This window comes from Homo sapiens, chromosome 3, assembly GCF_000001405.40.
Source record: "Homo sapiens chromosome 3, GRCh38.p14 Primary Assembly".
Classification (NCBI taxonomy): Eukaryota; Metazoa; Chordata; class Mammalia; order Primates; family Hominidae; genus Homo; species Homo sapiens.
Genome location: NC_000003.12, coordinates 50,886,447 through 50,908,376, shown reverse-complemented (window position 1 = coordinate 50,908,376; position 21,930 = coordinate 50,886,447). Strand labels below are relative to the sequence as shown.

Below are 21,930 nucleotides of genomic sequence, written 5' to 3'. Positions count from 1 at the left end.
CAAGTTTATAACACTAAATGTCCACATCAAAAAGCCAGAAAGATCTCAAATGAGCAGCCTAACATCACAACTAAAAGAACTGTAGAATCAAGAGCAAAGAAACCACAAAGCTAGTAGAAAGCAAGAAATAACCAGGATCAGAGCAGACGTGAAATAAATTGAGATGAAAAAAAAAAAAAGCCCTTCAAAAAAAAAAAAAATCAATGAATCTGGAAGATGGTTTTTTGAAAAAATTAATAAAATAGACCGCTAGCTACACACATAATAAAAATGAGAATCAAATAGACACAATTATTAATGATAACAGGGATATCACTGCTGATCGCACAGAAATACTAACCACCAATAGAGAATACTATGAACATCTCTATGCCCATAAACTAGAAAATCTAGAAGAAATGAATAAATGACTGGATGCATATGCCCTCCCAAGACTGAACCAGGAACAAACTGAATCTCTGAATAGACCAACAACAAGCTCTGAAATTGAGGCAGTAATAAATAGCCTACCATCCAAACCAGAAGGATATACAGCTCAATTCTACCAGAGGCACAAAAAAGAGCTGGTACCAGCTAACATCATAATGACAGGATCAAATTCACACATAACAATATTCACTTTAAATGTAAATGGGCTAAATGCTCCAATTAAAAGGCACAGACTGGCAAATTGGATAGAGTCAAGACCCATCAGTGTGCTGTATTCAGGAGACTCATCTCATGTGCAGAGACACACAGAGGCTCAAAATAAAGGGATGGAGGAAGATCTACCAAGCAAATGGAAAACAAAAAAAGGCAGGGGTTGCAATCCTAGTCTCTGATAAAACAGACTTTAAACCAACAAAGATCAAAAAAGACAAAGAAGGCTATTACATAATGGTAAAGGGATCAATTCAACAAGAAGAGCTAACTGTCCTAAGCATATATGCACCCAATACAGGAGCAACCAGATTCATAAAGCAAGTCCTTAGAGACCTACAAAGAGACTTAGACTCCAAACAATAATAATGGGAGACTTTTAACACCCCACTGTCAACATTAGACAGATCAACGAGACAGAAAGTTAACAAGGATATTCAGGAATTGAACTCAGCTCTGCACCAAGCAGACTTAATAGACATCTAACGAACTCTCCACACCAAATCAAAAGAATATACATTCTTCTCAGCACCACGTCACACTTATTCCAAAATCAACATAGTTGGAAGTAAAGCACTCCTCAGGAAATGTAAAACAACAGAAATTATAACAAACTGTCTCTCAGACCACAGTGCAATCAAACTAGAACTCAGGATTAAGAAACTCACTCAAAACCACTCAACTACATGGAAACTGAACAACCTGCTCCTGAATGACTACTGGGTACATAACAAAATGAAGGCAGAAATAAAGATGTTCTTTGAAACCAATGAGAACAAAGACACAACATACCAGAATCTCTGGGACACATTCAAAGCAGTGTGTAGAGGGAAATTTATAGCACTAAATGCCCACAAAAGAAAACAGGAAAGATCTAAAACTGACACCCTAACGTCACAATTAAAAGAACTAGAGAAGCAAGAGCAAACACATTCAAAAGCTAGCAGAAGGCAAGAAATAACTAAGATCAGAGCAGAACTGAAGGAGATAGAGATACAAAAAAACCCTTCAAAAAAATCAATGAAGCCAGGAGCTGGTTTTTTCAAACAAAATTGATAGACTTCTAGCAAGAATAACAAAGAAAAGAGAGAATAACCAAATAGATGCAATAAAAAATGATAAGGGGGATATCACCACCGATCCCACAGAAATACAAACTACCATCAGAGAATACTATAAACACCTCTACACAAATAAACTAGAAAATCTAGAAGAAATGGATAAATTCCTAGACACACACACCCTCCCAAGACTAAACCAGGAAGAAGCTGAATCCCTGAATAGACGAATAACAGGCTCTGAAATTGAGGCAATAATTAATAGCCTCCCAACCAAAAAAAATGCAGGACCAGACGGATTCACAGCCAAATTTGACCAGAGGTACAAGGAGGAGCTGGTAGCATTCCTTCTAAAACTATTCCAATCAATAGAAAAAGACAGAATCCTCCCTAACTCATTTTATGAGGCCAGCATCATCCTGATACCAAAGCCTGACAGAGACACAGCAAAAAAAGAGAATTTTAGACCAATATTCCTGATGAACATCGATGCAAAAATCCTCAATAAAATACTGGCAAACCGAATCCAGCAGCACATCAAAAAGCTTATCCAAAATGATCAAGTGGGCTTTATCTCTGGGATGCAAGGCTGGTTCAACATATGCAAATCAATAAACGTAATCCAGCATATAAACAGAACCAAAGACAAAAACCACATGATTATCTCAATAGATGCAGAAAAGGCCTTTGACAAAATTCAACAGCCCTTCATGCTAAAAACTCTCAATAAATTAGGTATTGATGGGATGTATCTCAAAATAATAAGAGCTATTTATGACAAACCCACAGCCAATATCATACTGAATGGGCAAAAACTGGAAGTATTCACTTTGAACACTGGCACAAGACAGGGATGCCCTGTCTCACCACTCCTATTCAACATAGTGTTGGAAGTTCTGGCCAGGGCAATCAGGCAGGAGAAAGAAATAAAGGGCATTCAATTAGGAAAAGAGGAAGTCAAATTGTCCCTGTTTGCAGATGACATGATTGTATATTTAGAAAACCCCATTGTCTCAGCCCAAAGTCTCCTTAAGCTGATAAGCAACTTCAGCAAAGTCTCAGGATACAAAATCAATGTGCAAAAATCACAAGCATTCCTCTACACCAATAACAGACAAACAGAGAGCCAAATCATGAGTGAACTCCCATTCACAATTGCTTCAAAGAGAATAAAATACCTAGGAATACAACTTACAAGGGATGTGAAGGACCTCTTCAAGGAGAACTACAAACCACTGCTCAACGACATAAAAAAGGACACAAACAAATGGAAGAACATTCCATGCTCATGGATAGGAAGAAGCAATATCGTGAAAATGGCCATACTGCCCAAGGTAATTTATAGATTCAATGCTGTCCCCATCAAGCTACCAATGACTTTGTTCACAGAATTGGAAAAAACTACTTTAAAGTTCATATGGAACCAAAAAAGGGCCCACATTGCCAAGACAATCCTAAGCCAAAAGAACAAAGCTGGAGGCATCACACTACCTGACTTCAAACTATACTACAAGGCTGCAGTAACCAAAACAGCATGGTACTGGTACAAAAACAGAGATATAGACCAATGGAACAGAACAGAGCCCTCAGAAATAATACCACACATCTACAACCATCTGATCTTTGACAAAGCTGAGAAAAACAAGCAATGGGGAAAGGATTCCCTATTTAACAAACGGTTCTGGGAAAACTGGCTAGCCATATGTAGAAAGCTGAAACTGGATCCCTTTCTTACACCTTATACAAAAATTAATTCAAGATGGATTAAAGACTTAAATGTTAGACCTAAAACCATAAAAACCCTAGAAGAAAACCTGGGCAATACCATTTAGGACATAGGCATGTGCAAGGACTTCCAAAAGCAATGGCAACAAAAGCAAAAATAGACAAATGGGATCTAATTAAACTAAAGAGCTTCTGCACAGCAAAAGAAACTACCATCAGAGTGAACAGGCAACCTACAGAATGGGAAAAAATTTTTGCAATCTACTCATCTGACAATGGGCTAATATCCAGAATCTACAAAGAACTTAAACTTAAAAAGAATCTACAAATTTACAAGAATAAAACCACCCCATCACAAAGTGGGCAAAGGATATGAACAGACACTTCTCAAAAGAAGATATTTATGCAGCCAACAGACACATGAAAAAATATTCGTTGTCACTGGTCATCAGAGAAATGCAAATCAAAACCACAATGAGATACTATCTCACACCAGTTAGAATGGCGATCATTAAAAACTCAGGAAACAACAGGTGCTGGAGAGGATGTGGAGAAATAGGAACACTCTTACACTGTTGGTGGGACTGTAAACTAGTTCAACCATTATGGAAGACAGCGTAGCGATTCCTCAAGGATCTAGAACTAGAAATACCATCTGACCCAGCCATCCCATTACTGGGTATATACCCAAAGGATTATAAATCATGCTACTATAAAGACACATGCACACGTATGTTTAATGTGGCACTATTCACAATAGCAAAGACTTGGAACCAACGCAAATGTCCATCAATGATAGACTGGATTAAGAAAATGTGGCACATATACACCATGGAATACTATGCAGCCATAAGAAAGGATGAGTTCATGTTTTGTAGGGACATGGATGAAGCTAGAAACCATCATTCTCAGCAAACTATTGTAAGGACAAAAAACCAAACACCACATGTTCTCACTTATAGGTGGGAACTGAACAATGAGAACACTTGGACACAGGAAGGGGAACATCACACACTGGGGCCTGTTGTGGGGTGGGGGGAGTGGGGAGAGATATCATTAGGAGATATACCTAATGTAAATGACAAGTTAATGGGTGCAGCACACCAACACGGCACATATATAAATATGTATCAAACCTGCACGTGGTGCACATGTACCCTAGAACTTAAAGTATAAAAAAAAATACACATTTAAATAAAAAAAAAGAGCTGGTACCATTTCTACTAAAACTACTTCAAACCAATTAAAAGGAGGGACTTCTATCTAATTCATTCTATGAGGCCAGCAATATTTTGATACCAAAATCTGGCAGAGATACAACAAAAACAGAAAACTTGAGGCCAATATACCTGATGAACATTGATGCAAAAATCCTCAACAAAATACTGGCAAATTGAATCCAGCAGATCATCAAAAGCTTATCCACTATGATCAAGTCAGCTTCATCCTTGGGATGCAAGGCTGGTTAAACATATGCAAATCAATAAATGTAATTAAGCACATAAACAGAACTAAAGACAAAAACAACATGATTATCTCAATAGATGCAGAAAAGGCCTTCAATAAAATTCAACATCCCTTCATGTTAAAAACTCTCAATAAACTAGGTATTGAAGGACTATAACTCAAAATAATAAGAGCCACATAGGACAAACCCATAACCAATATCATATTGAAAAGGCAAAAGCTGGAAGCATTACCTGTGAAAACTAGGACAAGAAGAGGATTCCCTCTCTCACCACTCCTATTCAACACAGCATTGGAAGTTCTGGTCAGGGCAGTCAGGCAAGAGAAATAAAGTATTCAAACAGGAAGAGAGGAAGTCAAATTAACTTTGTTTGCAGATAACGTGATCCCATATCTAGAAAATCCCATCATCTCAACCCAAAAGCTTCTTAAGCTGATAGGCCACATCGGCAAAGTCTCAGGATAAAGTCAATAGTGCAAAAATCACTAGCATTCCTATACACCAACAACAGGCAAGCAAAGGGCCAAATCATGAATGAACTCTCATTCACAACTGCTACAAAGAGAATAAAATATCTAGAAATATCACTAACCAGACAGGTGTAGGACCTCTTCAGGGAGAACTACAAACCGCTGCTTAAGGAAATCAGAGAGAACACAAATGGAACAATATGCCACGCTCATGGATAGGAAGAATCAATATTGTGAAAATGGCCATACTGCCCAAAGTAATTTATAGATTCAGTTCTATTCCCATAAACCTATCATTGACATTCTTCACAGAATTAGAAGAAGCTATTTTAAAATTCCTATGAAACAAAAAGAGCCCAAATAGCCAAGAGAATCCTAAGGAAAAAGAACAAGGCTGCAGGCATCACTATCCAACTTCAAATTATACTACAAGGCTCAAGTAACCAAAACAGCATGGTACTGGTACAAAAACAGACACACAGACCAATGGAACAGAACAGAGAATTCAAAAATAAGACTGAACTTCTACAGCCATCTGATCTTTGACAAACCTGACAAAAACAAGCAACGGGGAAAGGATTCCCTATTTAATAAATGGTGCTGGGAGAACCGGCTAGCCATATGCAGAAAATTGAAACTGGACCCTTACATCTTACATAAAAATTAACTCAAGATGGATTAAAGACTTAAATGCAAAACCCAACACTATAAAAACCCTAGAAGAAAACCTAGGCAATATTATTCAGGACATAGGCACAGGCAAAGATTTCATGACAAAAATGCCAAAAGCAATTGCGACAAAAGCAAAAACTGACAGATGGGATCTAATTAAACTAAAGAGCTTCAGCACAGCAAAAGAAACATCATCAGAGTGAACAGACAGCCTACAGAATGGGAGACAGAATCTACAAGGAACTTAAACAAATTTACAAGAAAAAAACAAACAACCACACTAAAAAGCGGGCAAATGACATGAACAGACATTTCCCAAAAGGAGACATTCAAGGAGCCAACAACACATACTGGGGCCTGTCAGGTGGGTGGTGGGAGAGAGAGAATCAAGAAGAATAGCTGCTTTCTTTCTTTATGGCAAGATGGCCGAATAGGAACAGCTCCGGTCTGCAGCTCCCAGCGACATCAATGCATAAGGTGGGTGATTTCAACATTTCCAAGTGAGGTACACGGTTCATCTCATTGGGACTGGTTAGACAGTGGGTGCAACCCACAGAGGGAGAGCTGAAGCAGGGTAGGGTGTCGCCTCACCCAGCAAGAGCAAGAGGGTCAGGGAATTCCCTCCCCTAGCCAAGGGTAGCCATGAGGGACTGTGCCTTGAGGAACAGTGCACTCCAGCCCAGTTACTATGCTTTTCCCATGGTCCTCGCAATCCACACACCAGGAGATTCCCTCGGGTGCCTACACCACCAGGGACCTGGGTTTCAAGCACAAAACTAGGTGACCATTTGGGCAGACACTGAGCTAACTGCAGCATATTTTTTCACACTCCGGTGGTGCCTGGAACGCCAGCAAGCAGAACCATTCACTACCCTAGAAAGGGGGTGAAGCCAGAGAGCCAAGTGGTCTAGCTCAGTGGATCTCATTCCCATGGAGCCAAGCAAGCTAAGATCCACTGTCTTGAAATTCTTGCTGCCAGCACACCAGTCTGAAGTTGACCTGGGACACTCGAGCTTGGTGGGGGGAGGGGTGTCTGCCATTACTAAGGCTTGAGTAGGCAGTTTTCCCCTCACAGTGTAAACAAAGCCATCAGGAAGTTCAAACTGGGTGGAGCCCACTGTAGTTCAGCAAAGCCACTGTAGCCAGACTGCCTCACAGGATTCCTCCTCTGGGCAGGGCATCTCTAAAAGAAAGGCAGCAGCCCCATTCAGGGGCTTATACATCAAACTCCCATCTCCCTGGGACAGAGCACCTAGGGGAAGGGGCGGCAGCAGGCACTGCATCAGCAGACTTAAATGTTCCAGCCTGTCTGTTCTGAAGAGAGGAGCGAATCTCCCAGCACATTGCTCAAGCTCTGCTAAGGGATAGACTGCTTCCTCAGGTGGGTCCCTGACCCCCGTGCCTCCTGACTAGGAGACACCTCCCAACAGGGAGCGACAGACACCTCATACAGGAGAGCTCTGGCTGGCATCTGGTGGGTGCCCCTCTGGGACAAAGCTTCCAGAGGGCAGCAATCTTTGCTGTTCTGCAGCCTCCGCTGGTGATACCCAGGCAAACAGGGGCAGGGTCTGAAGTGGACCTCCTGCAAACTCCAGCAGACCTGCAGCAGAGGAGCCTGACCATTGGAAGGAAAACTAACAAACAGAAAGGAATAAGATCAACATTAACAAAAAGGAGGTCCATACAGAAACCCCATCTGAAGGTCACCAACATCAAAGACCAAAGGTAGATAAATCCACGAAGATGAGGAAAAACCAGCATAAAAAGGCTGAAAATTCCAAAAATCAGAATGCCTCTTCTCCTCCAAAGGATCACAACTCCTCGCCAAGGGAACAAAACTGGATGGAGAATGAGTTTGACAAATTGACAGAAGTAGGCTTTAGAAGGTGGGTAATAACAAACTCCTCCAAGCTAAAGGAGCATGTTCTAACCCAATGCAACGAAGCTAAGAACCTTGAAAAAAGGTTAGAAGAATTGCTAACCAGCATAACTGGTTTAAAGAAGAATATAAATGACCTCATGGAACTAAAAAACACAGCACAAGAACTTCGTGAAGCATACACAAGTATCAATAGCCGAACCGATCAAGTGGAAGCAAGGATATCAGAGATTGAAGATCAACTTAATGAAATAAAGCGAGAAGACAAGATAAGAGAATAAAGAATGAAAAGAAACGAAAAACGCCTCCAAGAAATATGGGACTATGTGAAAAGACCAAATCTACATTTGATTGGTGTACCTGAAAGTGACGGTGAGAATGGAACCAAGTTGTAAAACACTCTTCAGGATATTATCCAGGAGAACTTTTCCCCAACCTAGCAAGACAGGCCAACATTCAAATTCAGGAAATACAGAGACCACCACAAAGATACTCCTCAAGAAGAGTAACCCCAAGACACATAATTATCAGATTTACCAAGGTTGAAATGAAGGAAAAAATGTTAAGAGCAGCCAGAGAGAAAGGTCGGGTTACCCACAAAGGGAAGCCTATCAGACTAACAGCAGAAACCCTACAAGCCAGAAGAAAGTGGGGGGTAGAGGAGCAATATTCAACATTCTTAAAGAAAAGAATTTTCAACCCAGATTTTCACATCCAGCCAAACTAAGCTTCACAAGTGAAAGAGAAATAAAATCCTTTACAGACAAGCAACTACTGAGAGATTTTGTCACCACCAGGCCTGCCTTACAAGAGCTCCTGAAGGAAGCACTAAATATGGAAAGGAAAAACTGGTACCACCCACTGCAAGAACATACCAAATTGTAAAGACCATCAACACTATGAAGAAACTGCATCAAGTAACGGGCAAAATAACCAGCTAGCATCATAATGACAGGATCAAATTCACACATAACAATATTCACTTTAAATGTCAATGGGCTAAATGCCCCAATTAAAAGACACAGACTGGCAAACTGGACAAAGAGTCAAGACCCATCACTGTGCTGTATTTAGGAGACCCATCTCAGGTGCAAAGACACACATAGGCTCAAAACAAAGGGATGGAGGAATATTTACCAAGCAAATGGAAAGTGAAAAAAACAGAGGTTGCAGTCCTAGTCTCTGATAAAAAAGACTTTAAACCAAGAAAGATCAAAAAAGACAAAGAAGGGCATTACATAATGGTAAAGTGATCAATACAACAAGAAGAGCTAACTATCCTAAATATATATGCACCCAATACAGGAGCACCCAGATTCATAAAGCAAGTTCTTAGAGACCTACAAAGAGACTTAGACTCCCACACAATAATAGTGGGAGATTTTAACACCCCACTGCCAATATTAGACAGATCAACGAGACAGAAAATTAACAAGGATATTCAGGACTTCAACTCAGCTCTGGACCAAGAGGACCTAACAGACATCTACAGAACTCTTCATCCCAAATCAACAGAATATACATTCCTCTCAGCACTACATCGCACTTATTCTGAAATCGATCACATAATTGGAAGTAAAACACTCCTCAGCAAATGCAAAAGAACGGAAATCATAACAGTCTCTCAGACCACAGTGCAATCAAATTGGAACTCAGGATTGAGAAACTCATAATCAAAACTGCACAACTACATGGAAACTGAACAACCTGCTCCTGAATGACTACTAGGTAAGTAACAAAATGAAGGCAGAAATAAAGATGTTCTTTGAAACCAAAAAGAACGAAGACACAACATACCAGAATCTCTGGGACACATTTAAAGCAGTGTGTAGGGGGAAATTTATAGCACTAAATGCCCAATAGAGAAAGCAGGAAAGATCTAAAATTGACACCCTAACATCAAAATTAAAAGAACTGCAGAAGCAAGAGCAAACAAATTCAAAAGCTAGCAGAAGACAAGAAATAACTAAGATCAGAGCAGAACTGAAGGAAATAGAGACACAAAAAACCCTTCAAAAAATCAATAAATCCAGGAACTGGTTTTTTGAAAAGATTAACAAAATAGGTAGACCGCTAGCCAGACCAATAAAGAAGAAAAGAGAGAAGAATCCAATAGACCCAATAAAGTGTGATAAAGGGGATATCCCCACTGATCCCACAGAAATACAAACTACCATCAGAGAATACTATGAACACCTCTATGCAAATAAACTAGAAAATCTAGAAGAAATGGATAAATTTCTGGACACATACACCCTCCCAAGACTAAACCAGGAAGAAGTCGAATCCCTGAAGAGGCCAATAACAAGTTCTGAAATGGAGACAGTAATTAATAGCCTACCAACCAATAAAAGCCCAGGACCAGAAAGATTCACAGCCAAATTCTATCAGGGGTACAAAGAGGAGCTGGTACCATTCCTTCTACAAACTATTCCAAAAAACTGAAAAAGAGTGACTCCTCCCTAACTCATTTTATGAGGCCAGCATCATCCTGATACCAAAACCTGGCAGAGACACAACAAAAAGAGAAAATTTTAGGCCAATATACCTGATGAACATCGATGTGAAAATCCTCAGTAAAATACTGGCAAAACGAATCCAGCAGCACGTCAAAAAGCTTATCCACCATGATCAAGTCGGCTTCATCCCTGGGATGCAAGCCTGGTTCAACATACACAAATCAATAAACATAATCCATCACATAAACAGAACCAATGATAAAAACCACATGATTATCTCAATAGATGCAGAAAAGGTCTCCAATAAAATTCTACACCCCTTTAGGCTAAAAACACTCAATAAACTATACCGATTGAACGTATCTCAAAATAATAAGAGCTATTTATGAACCCACAGCCAATGTCATACTCAATGGGCAAAAGCTGGAAGCATTCCTTTTGAAAACTGGCACAAGACAAGGATGCCCTCTCTCACCATGCCTATTTAACATAGTGTTGGAAGTTCTGGCAAGGGCAATCAGGCAAGAGAAAGAAATAAAGGGTATTCAAATAGGAAGAGAGAAAATCAAATTGTCTCTGTTTGCAGATGACATGATTGTATATTTAGAAAACCCCATCGTGTCAGCCCAAAATCTCCTTAGGCTGATAAGCAACTTCAGCAAACTCTCAGGATACATAATCAATGTGCAAAAATCACAAGCATTCTTATACACCAATAATAGACAAATAGCCAAATCATGAGTGAACTCCCATTCAAAATTGCTACAAAGAGAATAAAATACCTAGGAATACAACTTACAAGGGATGTGAAGGACCTCTTCAAGTGGAACTACAAACAACTGCTCAAGGAAATCAGAGAGGACACAAACAAATGGAAAAATATTCCATGCTCATGGATAGGAAGAATCAGTATCATGAAAATGGCCATACTGCCCAAAGTAATTTATAGAGTCAGTGTCATCCCCATCAAGCTACCACTAACTTTCTTCACAGTTTAGAAAAAAACTACTTTAAATTTCCTATGGAACCACAAAAGAGCCCGTATAGCCAAAACAATCCTAAGCAAAAAGAAAGCTGGAGGCATCACACTACCTGACTTCAAACTATACTACAAGGCTACATTAACCAAAACACAAGGTACTAGTACAAAACAGATATACAGACCAATGGAACAGAACAGAGGCCTCAGAAATAACACTACATGTCTACAACCATCTGATCTTTGACAAACCTGACAAAAACAAGCAATGGGGAAATGATTGCCTACTTAATAAATGGTGTTGGTAAAACTGGCTAGCCATATGCAGAAAACTGAAACTGGACCCCTTCCTTACAGAATCTTATACAAATATTAACTCAAGATGGATTAAAGACTTAAACGTAAGACCTAAAACCATAAAAACCCTAGAAAAAAACCTAGGCAATACCATTCAGGGCAGAGGCATGGGCAAAGATTTCATGACTAAAACACCAAAAGCAATGGCAACAAAAGCCAAAAATGACAAATGGTGTCTAATTAAACTAAAAAGCTTCTGCAGAGCAAAAGAAACTATCATCAGAGTGAACAGGCAACCTACAGAATGGGAGAAAATGTTTGCAATCTCTCCATCTGACAATATCCTGAATCTACAAAGATTAAACAAATTTATAAGAAAAAAACAACTCCATCAAAAAGTGGGCAAAGGAGATGAACAGACACTTCTCAAAAGAAGACATTTATGTGGCCAATAAACATATGAGAAAAAGCTCATCATCACTGATCATTAGAGAAATACAAATCAAAACCACAATGAAATACCATCTCACGCCAGTTAGAATGGCAATCATTAGCTGGAGAGGATGTGGAGAAATAGGAACACTTTTACACTGTTCGTGGGAGTGTAAATTAGTTCAACCATTGTGGAAGACAGTGTGGCGATTCCTCAAGGATCTAGAACCAGAAATACAAATTGACCCAGCAATCCCATTACTGGGTATATACACAAAGGATTATAAATCATTCTACTATAGAGACACATGCATGCGTATGTTTATTGCAGCACTGTTCAGAATAGCAAAAACTTGGAACCAACCAACCCAAATGCCCTTCAATGATAGACTTGATAAAGAAAATGTGGCACATACACACCACGGAATACTATGCAGCCATAAAAAAGGGATGAGTTCATGTCCTTTGCAGCAACATAGATGAAGCTGGAAACCATAATTCTCAGCAAACTAACACAGGAACAGAAGACCAAACACCACATGTTCTCACTCATAAGTGGGAGTTAAACAGTGAGAACACATGGACATGAAGAGGGAAGCATCACACACTGGGGCCTGTTGGGGGTTGGGGAGCTAGGGGAGGGATAGCATTAGGAGAAATACCTAATGTTGATGACGGGTTGATGGGTGCAGCAAACCACCATGGCACATGTATACCTATGTAGCAAACCTGCACATTCTGCACATGTATCCCAGAACTTAAAGTATAATAAAAAAATTTTAAAAAGAAATCTTTGTATCCCCTTACCTCCCTAAGCATGCACATGGGTACACAGTTTATGACGGCCTATGTACTGCCATTGCAATGCTCATTCCTGAATAAATATAATTTCCTTAAAAAAAAAAGAAGAAGAAGAACAGCTAATGAATGCTGGGCTTAATACCTAGGTGATGGGTGATCTGTGCAGCAAACCACCATGGCACACGTTTACCTGTATAACAAAACTGCACGTGATGGACATGTACCCTGGAAGTTAAAATTAAAGTTGAAGGAAAAAAAGAGTTTTTCAAGTTCTAAAAAAAAAAAAAAAAAAAGCGGGGATAAAATAAGGTAACTAAGCATTTCATATGGATGCTGAAATAAAAACTAAGATTACTCTTTTATGTGATTCATTTCTGATGTTTTTTGTTTGAGGCTTTTATCCCAATTGATAAAGAAAAAAAGCCATTAAAATGTCCTTTAATTGAAGAAGAAGTGGTAGAAATTACACCTTTAACATTACTGGAGCAATACTTTGAAAGTAAATCACTTAGCAGTCAGAATAACAATTTGGAATTGTAACCAAATAGTCAAATACAGCTGGGAGACCTAGAATTCAACAGAACATTGTTTTAACGCTCAAGAACTGTGTGACCTAACAGATGGGAAGAATATATAAGAATAAAGCTTAATTAACCAACTATGTAAACAGAACCAATCACTATTCATAGTTCCCTTAAAATTAAGATTTGCTAAACTTAAAAGATTTGCATGCTGTAAAAAAAAATCAAAAACAAAAACCTGACAATTTTAATTCCCTCAACAAATGTTTTATTGTTGATGACACAATTTACATATTTTATATTGTGCATCTACTAACAAGTTTTTGTAGTTATAGTTATTCTTAATACTTGTCTTTTAACTCTTATACTAAAATTATTTATATACTATCTTTACAGTATTCAAATATTCTGTATATGTGTATATATTTGCCTTTGCCTGTGAATTGTATACTTTTGTATGCTTTCATGTTGCTGTATAGCATCATTTTGTTTCAACTTAAAGAACTCCTTTCAGCATTTTTTATAAGGCAAATCTACTGGTGATGAACTCCCTCAGCTTTTGTTTATCTGGGAAAGCCTTTCTCTCTACTTCATTTCTGAAGGACAGTTTTGCTGGGTACTGGTTGACAGGGTTTTTTTTGTTTCCTTCAGTATTTTAAATATATCATCCTGCTCCCTTCTGGCCTACAAGGTTTTGGCGGAGAAATCTGCTGATAGCAGATTTATGGAGGCTCTCTTATATAAGACAAGTCCTTTTCATCTTGCTGCTTTCAAAATTCTCTTTGACTTTTGACAATTTGACCACAATGCATCTCAGCATGGATTTCTTTGGATTCCTGTTTTTTTAATTATACTTTAAGTTCTAGGGTACATGTGCACAACGTGCCGGTTTGTTACATAGGTATACAAGTGCCATGTTGGTGTGCTGCACCCATTAACTCGTCATTTACATTAGGTATATCTCCTAATGCTATCCCTCCCCCCTCCCCCCTCCCCTCACCTAACGACAGGCCCCGGTGTGTGATGTTCCCCTTCCTGTGTCCCAATGTTCTCATTATTCAGTTCCCACCTATGAATGAGAACACACGGTGTTTGGTTTTTTGTCCTTGTGATACTGTGCTGAGAATGATGGCTTCCAGCTTCATCCATGTCCCTACAAAGGACATGAACATCTTAAAGGGGTTGTTTGGACTTCAAGGATCAATGTTCATTTCCCTCCCCAGATTTGGGAAGTTTTCAGCCATTGTTTCTTTAAATAAGTTTCCTGCTCCTTTCTTTTCCTTGCTCTCCCTCTTCCTCTCTCTCCTGCCCCACGTGTGATAATTCCATATTGAGCATATTGGTTTGCTTGATGGTGTCCCATTAGTTTCTTAGGATTTCTTCCCTCTTTTTCCTTTCTGATTCTCTGAATGGATCATTTCAAATGACCTATCTTCAAGTTGACTCGCTCCTCTATTTGATCAAGAATGCTGTTGAAGTTCTCCATACAATTTTCATATTACTTATTGTATTCTTCAGCTCCAGAATTTATGTTTGATTCTTTGCTTTCTTATGGTTTCTATCTCTTTGTTGGTATTCTCATTATTTTCACTTTTCATTTTCCTCATTTAATTTAGTTGCCTGTATTCTCTTGTAACTCATTTAGTTAAGTAATCTTTAAGACTATTATTTTGAGTTGTCTTGAGGGCAATTCATAGAACTCCTTTTCTTTAGGGTCTGTTATTGAATATTTATTTTGTTCCTTTGATTGTGTCATGTATTCCCGATCCTTCATCTTCCTTGCAGCTTTGCTTTGGGGCCTGCACATTTGAAGAAACAACCACTTCTCCCGGTCTTTATGGACTGACTTCAATAGACAAAGACCCTCACCAATCAGCCCAACTCAGATTCTGGGAACCTGTCAAACCTTTTCTATGAATGTACGCACTTCATTCCTCCATCCAGCCTGAGAGTCTCAGGGTTCTGTGCCTTCTCCCAATCTCTCAAAGAAATGATGGCCACAGTAAGCTGCCCATCTCTTTTCCCTGTGGCAGTACTCTAAAATTCCAGGATGTATGCTTCATTCTTCCTTTCCCTTCTGAGGGAGAAGACTCACAGATATGCATCTTCTCCCAACCCTCCAGAGCTCTACTGGCCACAGTTGCCTGCCCTCCACTTTTTTCTAGAGTGATGCATTGAAATGATGGGATATTGCTCCCACTCCTCACCCTCCCTCCTGCAGAAATCTTAGGGTTGTGCACTTTTCCCGATCTTGCAGAGGCAAGCTAGCTGCAGTGAGCCTCTCACTCCTTTTCTTTGTTCTTAGCTTCCCCTGCATGTTTAAATTATGCTGGCTACTCCAGCACTCTGGGTGAGGTGGGATAGAAAGAGGTCATTCAAGCAGCACCCACAAATGCTAGAGATGTTTGATGTACAGTCCTCTTTTTCTTTGCCCCACTGGAAGAGTCACAATCTGGGACAAATTCTCTCTTAACCAGCTGGGAGAAGGGACTGACAAAGGTAAGAGTGAAATTGCTCTTCTTAGCCATTTCAACGTGTCTACTCTGTTTTGTGCTCCTCTGGAGTACTGCGACTTCTTCACTGGATACTGGACCTCTTATAAAGGTATTTTTCTTGGTATACCATTGTTAAATCTGTGTTTCTGTAGGGGGATGAGAGCTGAAACTTCTTATTCTGCCAAATTGCTGATGTCATGAAAGACTACTATTTTCTGGTTGGGCTCTATTCCACTACAACACAGTAAATGAAAAATTATCTGGAGAAAAAGGCCAAAGTAAACATGAAGCTCTCCTTGTGTGCATCCCTTCCTTCAAAGATCATAGCCTCTCAAGATCTTGCCCAACCAATTGTTCTCCAGTGCCTGCAGACAATTGTTTTTTAATATTTTCTCCAGATTTTAGAATTCTTATTGTGGACCATCAACTTATTGGACATTTGGATATGGAGGTCAATTCCAAATAGCTTTCTAAGATTTATATCCCACTTCCAGCAAATATGGCTGCTCTGTGTGTAATTTTATGTACAGCCACATCACTTCTACTTTCCTGAGGCAAACTGAATCCAGGTAGGGATTCTTCTGCTAGCAAAGTGCTCCCCAATGTCCTTTATAACTATTATAAATGGGACATATGACTCATAAACTTAGGATAAGTTCCTCATCATCAGAAAGTGTATGACTTTGCTAGTATTTTCTAAGGCACTCTATTTCTGCATCCCTAGATTTCATCTATATCTCCTTTTCTCACCTTGGTCCCTCACAGCTTCTGCCCACTTTCAGCTCTGATCAGCCTCATTACTGATAAATAAAGGATATTACTTCTGAATTTATAATAAGCCATTCACATTCAGAAAATGTTTTTAGCACTTTCCAAAATATATACTTTGCTAATCCCAAGTCGAAATACTCTCTTTTCCTTTTCCCACACTTCTATCCAGGCTTGATACTTTTGATAGTCCTTACTTATAAACTTGAGATGGCAGATTATTTGTTGCAAAGGTTCATAAACATGAGATGTATAAGTTGTTTTTCTTTTTTATGTCCTTATGGCTTTACATGTTTTGTAAAAGGAGAAGGGGAAGAATAAGAAGTATGCTAGTTGTGGATTCATATCAGAATCTTCTAAGTTATATTCTTACTATTTCCCCAACACAAATTTTATATTGGAAGGCATACAAGACAATTAATAATAACTATCATCTCCAAATCTATTCTTCTAAGGACTAATCATGAGGCTGCAATCCACAAGCTGTGTTTTGCAGTCTCCTTTGCCAGCTGGAAGCATTAGAAAGATACTGGGGAAAAGAAGGTGAAGAGGTGTGTTTCCTGCTGTTCCTGTAAACAATTTCTTTCACAGTGAAAATAGGTTCCAGCCTCCAGTTGCTTTTGGCATTCCCCAAAACAGCCTCATTACCACCTTCTTTATACATACCAACAGTAGCTATTTGATATTCCCTCCTCAAATTTCTGAGCTCCAATATCTCAAGATCTAATTTCTGAGTTCCTGGGTTTCGGTATCTCCACCATTATTAACGTGTAGGCCACTTTATGCAGTTAAAATCTATGGGTTACATCAGTATTTCCTCTTTTGTTCTTTCACTCTTCAAACGTGTGTAAATAATTTCCCACATTAAATTCTACCTCATAAAGTGGCTCATGTTTCTATTTTCCTGAATGAACCATAACTGACCAGAAGGTTACTCTGATGCTTACTCACCCTGCAGTCAAGAATAGTATTTCTACTTTAGGAAGCTACCTTGGTTACAAATTATACAGTACCTAAATTTTATGTTTTAAAATAATAAATTTTGAAAAATAAAATCGAAACTATAATACTTATTATTAAACATGACAAAGAATTTTTTAAAAACTCATTCATATTCCCAACATGCAAAAACAAGTGTTAACATTTTGATATATTTATTTCTTGTCTCTTTTTAGGCAGATTGCTTTGTTTTTAAAATTTGTGATCAAACCATTTTGTATATTGTCTTCTTATGGTTAAGGTATACCTTTAAACTTTTTCAATTTCAACTTGCAAATAAAAAATTTTAAAAGTCTCTTTCACTTTGTAAAAACAAAATGACATATTTATCTTTAACTCCTACTCTATGAATGACTATGCTCAAAATAGTACATAATTTTTTAAAACATACTGCATGCCTAACTGATTTTATAAAATTCACAGCTAACATCATTTCTTCCGTATACAAGAAAACAGATTAAAGTCTGTATTTTAAGAAAACATTATTCCCTCAAAATTACATGATAAAGCATGTACATTTTTGCCAGGAAAACATATCAATTGTATATTTTATACTATGAACCAAAAGGAAAAACAATCTTCCTCTGTAGCCTATAAAAATTGTACATAAATTTAGTAAGGCCAATTACTCACCCCCTATTACTGACAATTGCCTTTTTCAAGTGAATGTAATTTGCAGGAAAGATCCCCTGTAAAAGAGAAAATATTTCCTGTTAGAAAAAATAAAATTGTGATTAACATTTCATATATACAAAAATAGCAATCAGATTTCAGCACAGAAACATAGTAGATCTCCTGCTACAGCAACCACTTTGCATATTAAGTATGCAGAGCTGTACAAAGTATATTAGGTAGGAATTTCACGGCCATATGCAATCAAAATCTATCCTCAGGAGACAACTGTGATCTTTAGCACTGCAAAAATAAAACTTTAAATTTTAATTTTAAAAGAGTTGTAGATTAGAGATGGTCCATCAATTCACTCTCCAGAAACAGTATTGTGTACAGAACTTGTCATGTATCTCCAAAACTAATATCATCATCTAACCAACAACTTACAGATTATCTAGCTCTGAGCTAGAAAAACAATTCTCAGACTCTAGCTAACATTAATATTCACAGGAGTGAATCAATTCAAGAACTTCTAAAATATGTCTTCTTTTACTCTTTCCAAAACTGTTTCTACTTTGTTGTTTACCATAATTTGATTTCAATTCCTAAAGAATAAGTAGCGTATTTAAAAAAAAAAAAAAACCACATCAGTTTTCCAATCAATGTTTCGCCCCCATCTCCTGATGTATAAAATGCTCTTTAAATAAAACATGAATGGCTTACAGGTTTGGCGGCTCATGCTTGTAATCCCAGTGCTTTAGGAGCCTAAAGTGGGAGAACTGTTAGAGGCCAGGACTCCATGACTAGTCTGGGCAACATAGCAAGATCCTGTCTCTACAAACAATTAGAAAGTTAGCCAGGTGTGGTGGTGCACACCTGTAGTCCTAGCTACTTGGGAGGATGACTTGAGCCCAGAAGTTTGGGGCTACAGTGAGCTATGATAGCACCACTATACTCCAGCCTATATGACAGAGCAAGAACCTGTCTTAAACACACACACACACACACACACACACACACACACACACACACACACCCATGGCTTAAATATATTTTATACTCTTTGGCCCACACTACCACCAATAATCACCCAAATGAAGGCTATAAGCAATTAGACTACAGTAATGAGTTTTGTATTTTGGCTCATAATAAAAGACAGCATATAGTAACGTAAAATCCTAATATGGGAGAATATAGAGACTTAAAAAAAGGATTTAAGTCTTTAATCTTTAATCCATCTTGAATTAATTTTTGTATAAGGTGTAAGAAAGGGATCCAGTTTCAGCTTTCTACATATGGCTAGCCAGTTTTCCCAGCACCATTTATTAAATAGGGCATCCTTTCCCCATTGCTTGTTTTTCTCAGGTTTGTCAAAGATCAGATAGTTGTAGATATGCGGAGTTATTTCTGAGGGCTCTGTTCTGTTCCATTGATCTATATCTCTGTTTTGGTACCAGTACCATGCTGTTTTGGTTACTGTAGCCTTGTAGTATAGTTTGAAGTCAGGTAGCATGATGCCTCCAGCTTTGTTCTTTCGGCTTAGGATTGACTTGGCGATGCGGGCTCTTCTTTGGTTCCATATGAACTTTAAAGTAGTTTTTTCCAATTCTGTGAAGAAAGTCATTGGTAGCTTGATGAGGATGGCATTGAATCTATAAATTACCTTGGGCAGTATGGCCATTTTCACGATATGCATTCTTCCTACCCATGAGCATGGAATGTTTTTCCATTTATTTGTATCCTCTCTTATTTCCTTGAGCAGTGGTTTGTAGTTCTCCTTGAAGAGGTCCTTCACATCCCTTGTAAGTTGGATTCCTAGGTATTTTATTCTCTTTGACGCAATTGTGAATGGGAGTTTACTCATGATTTGGCTCTCTGTTTGTCTGTTATTGGTGTATAAGAATGCTTGTGATTTTTGTACATTGATTTTGTATCCTGAGACTTTGCTGAAGTTGCTTATCAGCTTAAGGAGATTTTGGGCTGACACAATGGGGTTTTCTAGATATACAATCATGTCATCTGCAAACAGGGACAATTTGACTTCCTCTTTTCCTAATTGAATATCCTTTATTTCTTTCTCCTGCCGAATTGCCCTGGCCAGAACTTCCAACACTATGTTGAACAGGAGTGGTGAGAGAGGGCATCCCTGTCTTGTGCCAGTGTTCAAAGTGAATACTTCCAGTTTTTGCCCATTCAGTATGACATTGGCTGTGGGTTCATAAATAGCTCTTATTATTTTGAGATACGTTCAATCGGTATAGTTTATTGAGTGTTTTTAGCCTAAAGGGGTGTAGAATTTTATTGGAGACCTTTTCTGCATCTATTGAGATAATCATGTGGTTTTTATCATTGGTTCTGTTTATGTGATGGATTATGTTTATTGATTTGTGTATGTTGAACCAGGCTTGCATCCCAGGGATGAAGCCGACTTGATCATGGTGGATAAGCTTTTTGACGTGCTGCTGGATTCGTTTTGCCAGTATTTTACTGAGGATTTTCACATCGATGTTCATCAGGTATATTGGCCTAAAATTTTCTCTTTTTGTTGTGTCTCTGCCAGGTTTTGGTATCAGGATGATGCTGGCCTCATAAAATGAGTTAGGGAGGAGTCACTCTTTTTCAGTTTTTTGGAATAGTTTGTAGAAGGAATGGTACCAGCTCCTCTTTGTACCCCTGATAGAATTTGGCTGTGAATCTTTCTGGTCCTGGGCTTTTATTGGTTGGTAGGCTATTAATTACTGTCTCCATTTCAGAACTTGTTATTGGCCTCTTCAGGGATTCGACTTCTTCCTGGTTTAGTCTTGGGAGGGTGTATGTGTCCAGAAATTTATCCATTTCTTCTAGATTTTCTAGTTTATTTGCATAGAGGTGTTTGTAGTATTCTCTGATGGTAGTTTGTATTTCTGTGGGATCGGTGGTGATATCCCCTTTATCATTTTTTATTGCGTCTATTTGATTCTTCTCTCTTTTCTTCTTTATTAGTCTTGCTAGCAGTCTATCAATTTTGTTGATCTTTTCAAAAAACCAGCTCCTGGATTCATTAATTTTTTGAAGGGTTTTTTGTGTCTCTATTTCCTTCAGTTCTGCTCTGATTTGGGTTATTTCTTGCCTTCTGCTAGCTTTTGAATGTGTTTGCTCTTGCTTTTCTAGTTCTTTTAATTGTGATGTTAGGGTGTCAATTTTGGATCTTTCCTGCTTTCTCTTGTGGGCATTTAGTGCACAAATTTCCCACTACACATTGCTTTTAATGTATCCCAGAGATTCTGGTATGTTGTGTCTTTGTTCTCTCTGGTTTCAAAGAACATCTTTATTTCTGCCTTCATTTCATTATGTACCCAGTAGTCATCATAAAAAATGATGAGTTCATGTCCTTTGTAGGGACATGGATGAAATTGGAAATCATCATTCTCAGTAAACTATCGCAAGGACAAAAAATCAAACACCACATACATGTTCTCACTCATAGATGGGAATTGAACAATGAGAACACATGGACACAGGAAGGGGAACATCACACTCTGGGGACTGTGGTGGGGTGGGGGGAGGGGGGAGGGATAGCATTGGGAGATATACCTAATGCTAGATGACCAGTTAGTGGGTGCAGCGCACCAGCATGGCACATGTATACATATGTAACTAACCTGCACATTGTGCAC

General features: G+C 38.5%; 1 protein-coding gene across 22 annotated transcripts in view, besides 1 other annotated feature; it reads right to left on the bottom strand.

Annotated features, from left to right (window-relative positions):
- Positions 1-21,930, bottom strand: part of DOCK3 (dedicator of cytokinesis 3) — a 709,272-nt gene that overhangs the window by 475,822 nt on the left and 211,520 nt on the right. For all 22 annotated transcript variants that reach the window (XM_005264914.4, NM_004947.5, XM_006713010.4 and 19 more), the window contains exon 4: positions 18,296-18,351. In XM_005264914.4, the coding sequence (XP_005264971.1) occupies positions 18,296-18,351 (56 nt within the window). The remainder of the gene's footprint in view (positions 1-18,295; positions 18,352-21,930) is intronic.
- Positions 16,947-17,496: an enhancer, noted in NCBI's record as "NANOG hESC enhancer chr3:50928312-50928861 (GRCh37/hg19 assembly coordinates)". NCBI's record gives its function as "activates a minimal SCP1, AML or CMV promoter by ChIP-STARR-seq in naive H9 embryonic stem cells {active_cell/tissue: H9 hESC(naive)}" and the evidence as "EXISTENCE:reporter gene assay evidence [ECO:0000049][PMID:30033119]".